Consider the following 15,728-nt stretch of genomic DNA (forward strand, 5'->3'; position numbering starts at 1 on the left):
CAAAAAATCCAGTTATGTGTCATGAATACACATATGTGCCAGATACATTCAGAACATAGATTTCCTGCTAAATAATTAAGAGTGGAAGAGCATGTCTTCGTGAGCTGAATGATAGCTTTCTCATATAGTTGACAATTCTCTTAAAACGCAATATTATTTCACAATAATTCCTAAATATTCATTAAGGGATCAGTGTCCCAAACCAAAGTATTACGGTTCTGAGAGATTTTCTCCATTGCACTGGTCAGCCAAAGGGCACTTTTGGGAGCAATGTCTGAGATCTAGAAAAGTTTTAGGGAAAAAAATTAGATAGATAGATAGATAGATAGATAGATAGATAGATAGATAGATAGATAATAGGTAGGTAGGTAGATAGATAGATAGATAGATAGATAGATAGATAGATAGATAGATAGATACTGAAAAATAACTAAACCCAAATCTTCACAACTAAGCTAAGCCAGAAATGTCTGGATTCAGACACAGTTATTATAATTCAAAAGCGTATTTACTGGAGAGTATAGGTAATTTCTGTGTGTGCTTAAACCAAAATTAGCTTAACAATAGCCTACCTAAATGGAGCAACAACCTTTTTCTTCTATACTTGCCCTTACTTCTTCTGATACTCTCTTCTCTCATTTTTCATACATCAAACACACGAACAAGTCTCTCCACTAGCAAATCATTCCATTATTTTATTAATTCTAATGTATTTTTAGTCTGGACACATAAATTCATATAAAATGAAATTCATCTACCTAGATCTTCATTCCCTGCACTTGCTGCTGCCTGTAACCTTTCCAATCTGAAATTTATTTCACTGAATGGAAAAGCTAGAAATAAAATGATAGAGAATAAGGTTTGCCTTCTTTCTCTCAACTACTATATTATGCTTACTTCTGTTAAGTAAAGGGGTTGCCTCTTCCATGAGGGATTATATTGCTTTTTCCAACTGAGGGTCTGAAAGTCATATTTAGCTATTACATTTTTCTAAGCCACCATTTCTTCTGGTCTCACATAATCCTTAAGGTTCATCTCCCTTATTCTGCTTCTCCAAAAGCATGGTCTCCTCTGTGTATATTCTGTTTATTTATCTACCTAAAATCTAAATATATCCAACAGCCTCTTAGATCCTCCTCCTTTCTTGTTGGTAATTTGTAGTTATTATTAAGGAGGATTCTTCTAATTCCTCTTGAACCATGTCATCTATGAGCTAGGATCCCTGACATGGAATCATACTATGTTTTTTTCTGTTATTTTTTAAATTTGCTTCATGAAAGACCAGAATGACATTTCTGAGTACCTGGAGTCTGCTCTCTCTTCATTGTTTCGATGTCCAAGAATAAGCTATTCATATACTGTTACCTCTACCTAGAATGTCCTTCCACCTCTTCTTTTTCTAGCCAACTCTCCATCATACCCCAAGAAGACCTACTGTGTAATCACTTTTTCTCATAGAATTACTTTCTCATATAAAAAGTGATTACACTGGAGCCTTCCTTCCAGTTCTCCATCTCTATTCTTGCAACACACTTTACATGTGCCTTTACTATAGCACTTAATACATTTCACTAAAGTTAATTAACTAGACTGTGAGTTCTTGAAATAATCTCTATTGGTCTGGAAGTCCCCAGAGCCTTATAAGCTATATTCATTCATCCATTTGTTTACTTATTTAATCATTCTTTTAACAATATTTTTCAAGAGCCCACTATATACCAGCACTCTTTGGGCCTCCAAAGATCATCAGTGAATGACAGAGCAAGATCCCTGCTCTCTCGAAGCTTTTAATTGTAGCAGAATAAGGCCTGACAATAAGCAAGAAACAAATAAATGAGCAAGACTGTTTCAGATGTAAATTGCAATCAATACAACATATAAGACAGGCCATGTATTAGTGTGATGGGAAGGGTACTAGAGATAGGGTGGTGAGACAAAGCCTCTATACATGGCAATATTTGAGCTGCAACTGAATGACATAAAAAACCAACATTAAGATCTGGACCCTGAGTCTATAGACCCTATAGCAGTTGGAACAAGCTTGGCATGACCAAGGAACAGAAAGAGGCTATGTGGATGGATCTTAGCAAGTAAGGAACAAAGAGTTGGAACTGATCAGATAAAGTCTTGAATGTCATAGTAAGGAGTTTGGATTGTATTCTACTGCAATTGCAAATCACTAGAGGGCCTTAAAAATAGTGATGCAATCTAGCTGATATTTAAAAACAAACTTGTTCTTCGGTTAATAGGGTTGAAAAAGGAAAAAAATTTGTTCCACATTTATTAAACGAATGAATAAATTATGCTCTCTTTATTTCTATATCATCAGCAAGTTCTTTGTGTTAATTTTAAAATCTGGAATTGCTGTGTCAGCATTGAGACAAGTTGGAGAAGGAAAGCTGCTACTCCTGATTTGCTGGCATTCCTCCTCCACGAGTCTGCACTCACTTCATGGTTTTGATATTCAAGTACAGCCTATTCATACACTATTCCCTCTGCAGAGAGGATCCTTTTTCTCCTTTTTCTGCCCAACTTTTGGTCATACCCCAAAGAGGTCTACTAAGTAATCTACCTCGTAAAGTAGACTACATCACCTAGTTGGTGGGTGATAGCTACTAGTGCATATTTATTGACTGAATAAAGCTAATATTTCACATCTTCTACACAAGAAGGATTTGGGATCTGATATGGTAGACTACATCACCTAGTTGGTGGATGACAGCCATTAGTGCATATTTATCAACTGAGTAGAGCTAACATAGCTCAAAACTTCTACACAAGAAGGATCTAGGATCTTTCTGCCCTTTCTTCTCTTCTCTCATACCCCTTCCTCCCTTTACCCCCTAAAGCAAGACAGCATTCTTAGCTGCAGATAAACTTTCCTTTGGTATAGATTGTGGCAAGAGAGTGGGCAGGTGAATTGAGATTCCCAGGGGAATCCTTGCCCCAATCTATACCAACGGAAAGTTTATCTAGCTGTCCTCGATCTAAGTCATAACCTTTAATCCAGCTTTTATGAGTGAAAAACAATATGATATTTTGGTCCCATCTCCCTGACTCGCATGTCTACACCAGAACTGGTTCTGAATTCAGAGCAAAGAAAAGGGGTTTCTGAAATCCCTGTAAGACACAATGTGATACGTTTGGAAGACACTAAATTGGAAGTTTGAGGGCCTGGTAAACTTGAGATCTAGTTGCAACTCTATTGTTAACTAGCTGTAAAACTTTAGGGCAGTCACTCAAAATCAATAACTAACATGTATTACATATCAGGCACTTGTTCAGCACTATCTAGATTATTTCATTTAACCTTCAAAACAATTCTGATTTAGATACAATTATTACCTCAATTTGCAAAAGAAAAACAGGCCAAAGAGAGTCAGTCTGAGCACCAGGATTTAAACCTAGAGAGCCTGACTCAAGAGCCTGACTCATCTTTCACCAGTTTTCTATTTTACTCATCTATAAAACATACAGGTTGGACAGACATCTTCCAACACTGAATTTCCCTGACATTTACTGCCATTACCTTTTCTGTCTTTTCAAAGATGAAATGCTCATCTTCAGTGCTCTGATTTTGACAAAATTATCTCCATTTCTCTGTTATTCCTCTGTGGAAGATGAAGCACCTCCTCTACACTATTTACTTTTGTGAATCATTCATGGATAGCACACTGTTTAGCTTGATGATTATCATTGAGTGTTTGCCACCCTCTTAAAATGAATGTAAAGTTAATTTAATCCACAAATCTGAGCTACAATATTTTCCTCAATATTCATCACTTCAAATTCGTCTCTTGTCAGAAACTGATGACTCTTAAATCAAATCCTACATTTTTGAAATACTGAAGCTTCAACTATTCTCTCTCCAGCTCCTCTTTCTCTTCCAAGTACAACCTTCAAGTAGAAGAATCTATTAACACCCTACATTTAGTTTCCCACCGCAGACTTCAGCGTGACCAGATGCACATTGCACTTTACTTCCTGTTACTGTCATTTGTTTTCAGGTGAGATACATGCTGACTTTGTCCAACTATAATTATTTGGAACCCTAGCCAATACTCCTAACCAATTGTTTTGTTCAATATTATTCAAGTTCTTCGCTCAACTTTTTGTTATATGACGAAGTGGGTTGATGAGTTTTAGCAGACTCTTCATCCCAGTTTAGACATGACCATGAAAAATCAGCACATCTCATGAATGGCCACCTTGAGTTGGCTATGGGCCATCCATAACCCTCACCTTCAGAGCCGCCATCACAATTCTTGACCTCCTGGAAACTGTAGCATACTCCTCTTCCAGTCCAATATCCATTGGTCCTTCTTTTTATTTGTGAGTTAGAAAGTGTACCTTATTTTTTGAAGGTACAGATTCACACACATGAGATGAACCAGGGAACTGATGGATGGTGCTACTGAGTTCTGATTGGTTTTTTAATCTAATAATAACTTTCTTTAACTGACAAGTCATAGTTGTATACATTTACGGGGTATAATGTAATGTTTTGATATGTGTATAGCATGTGGAATAATTAACTCAAGCTAATTACCATATCCATCAACTTCACCTACGTATCATTTTTCATGATGAGATATTTGAAACTTATGCTCTCATTTTCTAATATGTAAGACATTCTTATTGACTTATTGACAGCTTGGTGTGCCACAAATTTCAAAATCATGTTTTCTTTTGTTTTGCAATATTTTCTCAATCGACATTAATTTTTAATACACTAATAACAGGATCTTCTTGGTTTTTATTTCCTTCTGACTAAACCATCATGCTGAATTTTCTCTAACGTACATAATGGTCAGTAAAAATAGCTAATACATGTTTACCAAAGGCATGTACTATAACATAGCACTACTCATAAGTGCTCCATACTGGAAACTACTCAAATGCCCGTCAACAGTGCAACTGTATAAGTAGATTGTGGTATATTCACACAATGTAATATAATAAGAATGAGCAAGCTTAAGTACATGCAACAATAAGGATGAATCTCACAGACATTGAGACAATAAGGATGACTCTCACAGACTTTGAGACATTGGAGTGAAGGAGGCCTGACACAAAAGAATAAAACTCCCTGCTTCCATTTCTATAAAAGATAAAACAAGAGGCTGGACGCGGTGGCTCACACCTGTAATCCCAGCAGTTTGGGAGGCCAAGGCGGGTGGATCACCTGAGGTCAGGAGTTCAAGACCAGCCTGACCAACATGGAGAAACCCTGTCTCTACTAAAAATACAAAATTAGTCAGGCATGGTGGTGCATGCCTGTAATCCCAGCTACTTGGGAGGCTGAGGCAGGAGAATCACTTGAACCCAGTAGGCTGAGATTGCAGTGAGCCAAGATTGTGCCATTGCACTCCAGCCTGGGCAAAAAGAGTGAAACTCTGTGCCCCACCACCTCCCCCCGCAAAAAAAGTGAAGGCAAATCAATGCTGTTGGGAGTCAGGATGGTGGTTACTCCTGAGGTTTTGGGATAGTGCCCAGAAGGAACAAAAGTGGTCTCTAGGTACTGGACATGTTCTGTTCTTCATCTGAATGCCAATTACATGACAGTAATCAGTTTGCAAAAACTCAGTGAATTCTACACTTTAGGAAATGTACATTTTCTGTATACATTTTAGGCTTTAATTTTAAAAGTTTAATAAACTAAATAAAAACAAAATAAGACAAAAGTTCCCATCATCACTAATCATCAGAGAAATGCAAATCAAAACCACAATGAGATACCATCTCACACCAGTCAGAATGGCTATTATTAAAAAGTCAAGGGCCAGGTGCAGTGGCTCAGGCCTGTAATCCCAGCACTTTGGGAGGCCGAGAAGGGCAGATCACCTGAGGTCAGGAGTTCGAGACCAGCCTGACCAACATGGAGAAACCCTGACTCTACTAAAAATACAAAATTAGCCGGGTGTGGTGGTGCATACCTGTAATACCAGCTACTTGGGAGGCTGAGGCAGAAGAACTACTTGAACCCGGGAGGTGGAGGTTGCGGTGAGCCGAAATCGCATCATTGCACTCCAGCCTGGGCAACAAGAGTGAAACTCCGTCTGAAAAAAAAAAAAAAAAGTCAAAAAACAACAGATGTTGGCGAGGCTGTGGAGAAAAGGGAATGCTTATATACTGTTTGTGGGAATGTAAGTTAGTTCAGCCACTGTAGAAAGCTGTTTGGAGATTTTTCAAATAACTTAAAACAGAACCACCATTCAAGCCAAAAATCCTATTACTGGGTATATATCCAATGGAAAACATCATTCTTCCAAAAAGACACATGCATTCATATGTTCATCACAGCACAGCTCACAATAACAAAGACATGGAATCAAATTAGGTGCCCACCAACGGTGGCTTGGATGAAGAAAATGTGGTACATATACACCATGGAATACTATGCACCCATAAAAAAGAAAAATAATGTCCTTTGCAGCAACACAGATGCAGCTAGAGGCCATTATCCTAAGCAAATTAACACAGGAACAAAAAGCCAAATACCACATGTTCTCACTTGTAAGTGGGAGCCGAACTTTGGGCACTCATGGACATAAAGATGGTAACAATAGACACCAGGAATTACATGATGTGGGAGGGAGGGAAGAAAAAATTGAAAATCTGTTGAGTACTATTCTCAGTACCTCAGTGATGGGATCATTTATACCCCAAACCTCAGCATCATACAATATACTCAGGTAACAAACTAATAGTTAACCTTTATTAAGTACTTGCTTTTTACCAGGTGGTATTTATCTATGTAATTTTTATGTGCTAACTCATTTAATCTACAGTAATGGAACTCAGAATTCCATTGTCTGTCCATCAGTACAGACAATCTGATGCTGTTCTCTGGAGCAGAGTATTGGTTTAAATGTTGGCTCAGTTCATTTCTAGGTATTTTGTTTTATTTCTTCTGGGTTTTGTTCTTCTGTTTTCACTTTGTTATTTCTCAGTTTACTTTTTATAAAATGAAGGCGATAATAGTAGCTACTTCATAGGTTAGTGGCAAGGATTAAACACGAAAATACTTATAAAGTACTTACCATAATGCCTAAAACATAGTAAGTGCTCAATAAATCTTTACTAAATTATAGTTTCTGTCTTATCTTGCCTACAAATAGGCATCTTTTGTAAACAGAAGCATTGCAAAATAGTCCACGAGCTCTTTCACATCCATATATTAGAAACTAAATCAAAGAGAGCAGCATATCATGTTCCACAAAGGAATGAATGAATTAATTTTGCACTAGAGAAGAATATCATCCTAACAAGTGAAGATGGTGATTAGATAATGGTAAGAATGCATACAGACAAATTTAAAACAACCAAAATATACATCTTGGTTATCAGCATAAGGCTTTCTGGAAAAAAAAAAATCAAGAGAAAGGGATAAGTGCAATGATGCTCCTCTCTGAATCCTGACATTTGTGACAGCTGTGTATTTTCACATGCATCACAGAAGTATGTGTGTAGTGTTGACTGCTGACTTAGAGGCAGAACGCCTAGATGTAAATCATGGCTACTTATAGCACCTGGGAAGATCACTTCCTCCTTCCTCAGTTTTCTCACTGGCATGATAAGGATGATTTTAATAGTACCCACCTTGTAATTGAAGGTTTTAAGCAGTTAATATTTGTAAATGACTTTGAATGCTTAGCATATAGAAAGCATTAATAGCTAGCAATAAAATATAATAAGTTAAATATCCAGCCGGGCATGGTGGCTCATGCCTGTAGTCCCAGCACTTTGGGAGGCTGAGGTGGGTGCATCACCTGAGGTCAGGAGTTCGAGACCAGACTGACCAATATGGTGAAACCCTTTCTCTACTAAAAATACAAAAGTTAGCTGGGAGTGGTGGCACGCTCCTGTAGTCCCAGCTACTCAGGAGGCTGAGGCAGAAGAATCGCTTGAACCCAGGAGGCAGAGGTTGCAGTGAGCCGAGATCGCACCAATGCACTCCAGCCTGAGTGACAGAGCGAGACTCCTTCTCAAAAAAAAAAAAAAAAAAAAAAAAAAAAAAAAAAAATCCAAGGTTTTCTCTGGACAAAATTATCAATTCAAAATTCTGCTCAATTTTTCCTCAATTTTCTTCAAAGTACATCCACCTCTTTCTCTCCAGGACTCAAATGCACACAACCTAGCCCCTGGTAATTCAAAGCCCTCCTTGAAAAATACTCCATCTAGACCAAGCTTCTCCCCGTCATAGATCCTCTCCTTTGAATCTTTACAAAATTTACTTGTGCTATGTTTCATTTCACTTAATGTAAAAAAAATGTAATCCTTTCTAATAGGTAATAATGAGTGAACTTTTTCAGATAACATTTCTGATTTTAACAGAGCCTTCTGAATTCTGCTTTAAGCCTAGTGAAGTGACACAGTGGTATAAACTTCCAGCACTATATTTGCCAACTGAGAGATGTTTTCAATCAGAAAAATATTGTCATTCTCAATCACAGCAATTATATGACTGTCCACTCTACTCTGAATATTTAGGAGCTGTAAATTGCAAAACAGAAAATAATTCTCTTTTCTACTCTTTCATCTCCAAATAAAGGGAAAAAATGGAGAACTAAAAGAAGGAATATGTTTTGATTCTTCTGTTGGATTTTAATTTCCCCTGGGAATGGTCAGGAAGCTGCTATGTGCAAGCCATCCTCCTCTATTTTGAAAAACTCTGTATTTTCCAATACTCTATAAGTCAATGAGATAGTTCCCTCCCCAACCCCCACCTTGAATTTCCCTTATTGACTCCAGGGGCAACCACATGGTACACATGCATATATGTACACAAGTGTGCACACTCCAATGAACACATATGCATAGGCTGCATTGCCATCCCTATGCTAGCATATAGCATATTTCCTCAAATTAAAAAAAAAAAAACTAGTTCTGATGCCCCAAAATGCAGAATCTGAACCTCAGTGGTAGCCTTGGAATTACAAAAAAAAGAAATTAATTAAAAACAGAGACCAGTCTCAGTTACAGAATCTCAAGTTTTATTGATAACACAATGTATAGGCATCACAGAAGTAAATAAAGTGGGCCGTTTCTGGTGACTCATGCCTATAATTCCAGAATTTTGGGAGGCCAAGGCAAGAGAATTGCTTGAGGCCAGAAGTTCAAGACCAACTTGGGAAACATAGTGAGATCCTGTCTCTACAAAAAAAAAAAAAATTAAAAATTAGCCAGGCTGGTGGCTCACCTGTAGTCCCAGCTACTCAGGAGGCTAAGGCAGGAAGATTGCTTGAGCCCAAGAGGTCAAGGCTGCAGTGAACTGTGATTGTACCACTGCACTGCAGCCTAGGTGACAGAGTGAGACCCTGTTTCAAAAAAAAAAAAAAATGTAAGTAAAGTAATATCCCAAGCTCTGTTTAGAAGACCAGCTACCCCTGTAGTGGTATGCTGTTGCAACCAACTGAATAACTCACTTAATCTGCACTTGTACTTTAGTGCAAAATGGTAGTGGGAGTGTAATCAGTAGAGAGAAGTGAGTCTTTGACTGTAGGAAATTATTGAGTGGTGGTTAACCCCAAAGGTCCAAACCCCTGACCTTCTCCCTCCAAAGGCATCTGGCCTGCTGAACATTGACAATGGCATAGACCCATTAGGGTTTAACACCCTCCCACTGGATCAGGGTGTTCCAGGCATTTTCTGGCACTGGATATTCCCCCAAAACAGCAGCATCAATACATCCAGATAGAACCAATGCCAACTTTTCCTAGAACACACATACCAGTCATGGGACGGGGAAGGAATGTAAATTCTTGCCATCATAAAATCACAAAAAGATGACTGGGAAACATTCTAAAGATTGGTTTCAAGCTGTATCTGATGATGCAAACCCGCACTAATCAATGACTCAGAAAGTCTCAGATACAAGTGATTGCTCATGCACAAAAAAGCATTTCCAAGGGAGCTGAATCCATTGAGACTGAAGAATAGATCAGGATATCCAATATAGATCTTTCAGCTGCCTTTGATCTCTGGGCAGAAAGGACTGTTTAACACACTTTTTAAGCTTCTTCAATATTTGGGAATTCTTATGGATAACCTATACGTGGGTACCCTCTAGTCACTAGATTCTTCAATTCCCCAGTGTGGCCAGGTGGGCTCATTAGACAAGAGCCAAATGTTATCAGTCTCACATAGCACAGTTCAACGCCTCCACACTGACCAGGCGGTCTGTCTTGCTCAGCCTCCTAATTCCTCCTGGCAGAAGTGCAGAAGTTCTCCTTGGCCCCACTCACCACATTTACACACAAACCTTGGTGCCTTCCACACATTTGCTCTTCAATCCAACCGAAAACAGTCTCACTCTTTCGTGGATGTCTGCAACGTGAAGAGAAGTACAGGATAGGACTCTGGCTGCTGAACCTGTGCAGAAAAGAAAAAATCAAGTTGAATTTCTGCACACCCACAGCTCAAGGCAGTACTGCCCATGATCTGGACAAGAGGTCCCCCGTTCTGCACCCTGTGCTCACTCTAGCCCCCTTCCTGCCACACGCCACACCAGAAAGCAAGAAGCTTATGGAGCCAAACTTGTCATGTGGAAGCTGTGCCTCCTTTTGTAGACCCTGCACTGGGAATCTGGACCCTGGATTTTCCTGCCCAGACATCCTTGAACCCACTTCCAAGGCTGGAATGGAACGTTTCACCAGGTGTGCCTCCTAAAAGTGGATGGCACTGGTCATTTGCTCATCCCAGGCCAGAGGAGTGGCTAAGGAGCTGCTGTATTTAAGGACTATGGACCCAGCTCTGGAGTATGACCTGGAGTGTCCATACACATAGAGGGAGATCTCTCTCAGTACCAGAGGAGCCTAGTGGTGGGGAGAAAAGGGGAGCAGGCAGGGTCCAGGCTCAGTTTTCCCAAAGCTGCCACATTTCATCAAAGAACTCTGAGAAGCTTGACAGTCAAAAATTTGCACATAGCCTCCCAGGTCAACATAAAGGTATATTTGTCAAGATAAGAGAACAGAACAGATTTTATTTAACAGATTACTAGTTTGAGTTATAATTTTAAAATATTTAAATATATGGTTTGTGGGCTTCAACATGTACTCTTGTTCTAAAGACAATATTGGGCCAGAACTGCTGAAATGTATTTTTGCTTAATGTTGTTTTCTTCAGAAACCAACTTCTGCAGGGGATCTATTTCTAAGAAGTCTCAAGTTCACAATAAAACTCTTTAAGCCTAGGGCCAACAACATTGCTCTTCAAAATAGCATGATGGACACTTCTCAAAAGAAGACACATATGCAGTCAACAAACATATGAAGAAAAGCTCAATATCACTGATCATTAGAGAAATGCAAATCAAAACCACAATGAGATACCATCTCACACCAATCAGAATGGCTATCATTAAAAGTCAAAAACAACAGATGCTGGCGAGGTTGTGGAGAAAAAATGAATGCTTTTACACTGTTGGTGGGAGTGTAAATTAGTTCAACCATTGTGGAAGACAGTGTGGCAATTCCTCAAAGACCTAGAGAGAGAAATACCATGTGACCCAACAATCCCATTACTGGATATATACCCAAAGGAATATAAATCATTCATATCAAGACTAGTGCACATGTATGTTCACTGCAGCGCTATTCACAATAGCAAAGACATGGAATCAACCTAAATGTCAATCAGTGATAGACTAGATAAAGAAAACGTGGTACATATACGCCATGGAATACTATGCAGCCATAAAAAGGAATGACATCATGTCCTTTGCAGGAACATTGATGGAGCTGGAGGCCATTATCCTTAGCAAATTAATGCAGGAATAGAAAACCAAATACTGCATGTTCTCACTTATAAGTGGGAGCTAAATAATGAGAACAAATGGACACGTGGAAGGGAACAACACACACTGGGGCCTGTCAGAAGGTGGGGGGGTGAGAGGAGGGAGGGCATCAAGGAGAATAGCTAATGGGTGCTGGGCTTAATACCTAGGGGATGGAATGATCTGTGCAGCAAACCACCATGGCACACATTTACCTATGTAACAAACCTGCACATCCTGCACATGTACCCCTGAACTTAAATTTTTAAAAAATAAAATAAAAATATAAAAGTAACAGGATTAAAAAAAATAGCATGACGCCCAATAAGCACCATTTCCATCAATCCTGATACGTGATGTGCCTCAGGCAATCTCCAGTACTCAATCCTGAATCGGCCACATTCTCTGCTAACCCAACCCTTGTGTCACATTCTAAGACTCCACTGATATCAAATGCAATTGAATAAAATAAATTCCCATTGTGCTGTGCATCACAGAAACATAGATTGACAGGAATAAAATGAATAATCATGTCCACTTTCCACTTCTGCCTCCTCCCATTGAGGAGCATTATGCTATTTAAAATCCTAAGGAAGTCCCAGTTTATTATGAAGCTCAAGGTAACAAGTAAGAAAGAAATACTAAAAAGGCTAGCTGAGTGGATTTACACTAGAAAGAGCAGAGATATGCTAGAGACATGAAATGATGAATTGGAAAGGAAGCAGGGGAATATGAGAAAAACAACTTGAGAGACAGAATTTGGGGATGGGGTCTGGGCAGAGTTGGGAGTGAGAGAGGAGGGAGATTTGGGAGCAGCTGCCATGTGTATGAACTATTGAGAAAGACATGCCGTAGTGGATTAAAGATGGCCATAAACATTGCTACTACATCTACCAAGAGGGAGAGTGTAAGTCCATTCCTGCTGCTATAACAAAGTACTTTAGACTGAGTATTTATACACAACAGAAATTTATTTCTCACAGTTCTAGAAACTGGAAAGTCCAAGATCAAGATGCTGGCAGACTGAATGTTTGGCAAAGGCCCATTCCTTATAGACAGTGTCTTCTTTCATGGGAAGGAAGGGACAAATGCTGTGTCCTTACATGAGGGAAGGTGGAAAAAAGGGAACATGGCTTTTCCTTCAACCTCTTTTATAAGAGAACTAACCCCACAAAGTGCCACCTTCATAACGATCATTTTCCAGAAGGGCCTACCTCTTAATATTGTCACATTGGGTCTCAGATTCCCACACGAATTTTGGAGGGACACATTCAGACCATAGCAGAGAGTATCCCTCAACTCCTTTAACTCTGAGATAGCTTGCATATTTGCTTTGGCCAATAGAACGTGAGGGAAGTGATGTTATGTAACTTCTGAAAGTGGTCCTAAAGAGATCTGAAGGTGCCTTTTTCATGTACTTGGAGGACTCCCTCTTAGAACTGAGCTCCCATGCTGTGAGAAGCCCAAGCCTCGTTGAGTAGCCATAGTAAGGAAAACTGAGACATTCTGATGGACAATCTCAGTTGTGCTCCTGGCTGCCAACTGCCAACCATGGGAATGAGCCATCTTGGGTGTTCCAGCCCAAATGAGCCTCCAAAAGACTGAGCCCCAGCCAACTGCACAAGAACTGAAATCACCCAATTGATCTCATCAACCCATAGAATTGCACTAGATAATAGCCAGTGATTGATATTTTCAGTCACTGATTTGAGGGTGGTTTGCTACACAGCAATAGATAATGAAAAGATGGGGAAAGAGGATTTTAAGACATTTCACTGGGCATTATGGATATATTCTCTTTATTGTGTGTTCTCAAGAGATTATAAGAAAATTAATTTCCTTTTCAATTATTTCTGCACATCAGCTTAGCGTTGAGATGAAGTGGATAAAGACACATAGGTTTCTTATGGAATATACGTGTAATGCCAACCAGAAGTTCTGAAATAATTAGCACAGAAATCATGCTTTTCATACACATGCAGTAAAATCTAGATTTTCATGCTAACATTCAAAAGAATTTTTTTAAAAATACAGCAAATTTAAAAAGAAAATATACCTTGGAGAAAAATCTCCAATGACTCATAAAATTTGAAATAACTAAAAATTGTCAAAATTCCGTGGCTAGCTCCATATTTCTCTCCAAAAACCACTACCCACCAACCCCCTTTAACTGTAAACCATGTAGAAACTAAGGATCTCCAAATGGTGTACTATCCTTAACAGAACACCCAGGTTCAGCATCTAGACCTACTATAAATATCTGTTAACAAAACCTGGGCTCCTCAGCATGTCAGTCTCTCAAAGAACCACATGTTAACATATTTGAGAGAGGTTTAAAGCACTCAGACAGCCATCCCATTCTAGTTGAGGTGACCATCGTACACTGTGGGACTCCTTCCTCTCTAACCAATCATTTTGGCTTGGAAACACCCACAGCTGCTGTGAGTCCGTTCTCTTTAACAACAATATGCAATGCTGCCAAGTTTGGATTGAGTGGGGTTGTTACTTTCTATATGCAATTCAGATCTCTGGCATATTTGCATCCTAGACTATCCCACCTACATGGTTTAAAGATATTTAACTTTAGTCATAGCAGAGCCAGATAAGCATTTAGCCACTGTATTAGTTCATTTTCATGAACACTGTATTAGTTCATTTTCATGCTGCCAATAAAGACATACCCAAGACTGGGTAATTTATAAAGGAAAGAGGTTTAATTGATTCACAGTTCCTCATGGCTGAAGAGTCCTCAGGAAACTTACATCATGGCAGAAAGGGAAGGAAACATATCCTTCTTTACATGGCAACAGAAAGGAGAAGTGCAGAGTGAAGCTGGGGAAGCCCTTTATAAAACCATCAGATCTTGTGAGAACTCACTATCATGAGAACAGCATGGAGATTTCAGTTGGAACACAGCCAAACCACATCCTTCCACCCCTGGCCCATCCCAAATCTCACGTCCTCACATTTCAAAACCAATCATGCCTTCCCAATAGTCCCCAAAGTCTTAACTCATTTCAGCATTAACTCAAAAGACCACAGTCCAATGTCTCATCTAAAAAAATGAAAAGACATACCAGAGACTGGGTAAGACTAAGTAACTTATAAAGGAAAGAGGTTTAATTGACTCACAGTTCCACATCACTGAGGAGGCCTCACAATCATGGTGGAAGGTAATGAGTGAGCAAAGCCACACCTTACATGGCAGCAGGCAATGGAGCTTGTGCAGGGGAACTCCCATTTATAAAACCATCAGATCTAGTGAGAATTACTCACTACCATGAGAACAGTATATGGGAAACATCCCCATGATTCAATTGTCTCCACCTGGCCCCCACCCTTGACACATGGGAATTATTACAATTTAAGGTGAGATTTGGGTGGGGACATAGCCAAACAATATCACACATCTTCTTTCAAGCAGAAATTGTGGGTTTGAGGCTGAATCAATGTATTTGTCCACCCATCAGATGAACTACTTGGTGGTATTATAGAAAACCTAGTCTCTCTTCTCCATGAGCAGAATGGCTGCATCTCCAACTCCAGAGGTTCTAGATCCTGACCCAAACTTCATGGTCCACAGGAATCAACTGGAGTTTAGAAGATCCAGACACTGCCTCATATACTGATTTCTGCAAAAATGAACCAATCATTTCCTCAGTCACCTCCAGGAAAGCACCATCAATAACTGGATCGTATGTAATCCAACCACAAACTGAACTATCTCTTTGAATGGTAGAAACACCTCAATGCATAATGTAGGCTTTAACTAGAACCTTAGACACGGTATCAGAATAAGGCTACTAACTTGGTTCCTCCTCAAATCAATTTTATTTAAATATTTGTTCAACATTCCCTTAGCAGGAATATGATGATATTAAATTTCCATTCTCAAAAATTATATAAAACATATATATATAGTGTGTTTTATTTAAATGAGAAAATTTATTTA

General features: G+C 39.1%; 1 long non-coding RNA gene across 8 annotated transcripts in view, besides 1 other annotated feature; it reads right to left on the reverse strand.

Annotated features, from left to right (window-relative positions):
- The window catches only part of LOC105372753 (uncharacterized), a 72,352-nt gene that overhangs the window by 41,010 nt on the left and 15,614 nt on the right, over nt 1-15,728 (reverse strand). For 2 of the 8 annotated variants that reach the window (NR_188564.1, NR_188565.1), the window contains exons 1-4: nt 14,909-14,992; nt 10,265-10,374; nt 9,203-9,320; nt 5,937-6,059 (exon numbers count right to left, since the gene is read on the reverse strand). This is a non-coding gene — a long non-coding RNA (uncharacterized LOC105372753). Of the gene's footprint in view, nt 1-5,936; nt 6,060-8,975; nt 9,157-9,202; nt 9,321-10,264; nt 10,375-14,908; nt 14,993-15,728 lie in introns of those variants that run through there. The other 6 variants (NR_188560.1, NR_188561.1, NR_188566.1 and 3 more) reach the window with 4 other exon arrangements.
- Nucleotides 7,678-7,767: an enhancer, noted in NCBI's record as "active region_18306". NCBI's record gives its function as "activates an Ori minimal core promoter by ATAC-STARR-seq in GM12878 lymphoblastoid cells {active_cell/tissue: GM12878}" and the evidence as "EXISTENCE:reporter gene assay evidence [ECO:0000049][PMID:35858748]".

This window comes from Homo sapiens, chromosome 21 (genome assembly GCF_000001405.40).
Source record: "Homo sapiens chromosome 21, GRCh38.p14 Primary Assembly".
In the NCBI taxonomy this organism is placed as follows: domain Eukaryota; kingdom Metazoa; phylum Chordata; class Mammalia; order Primates; family Hominidae; genus Homo; species Homo sapiens.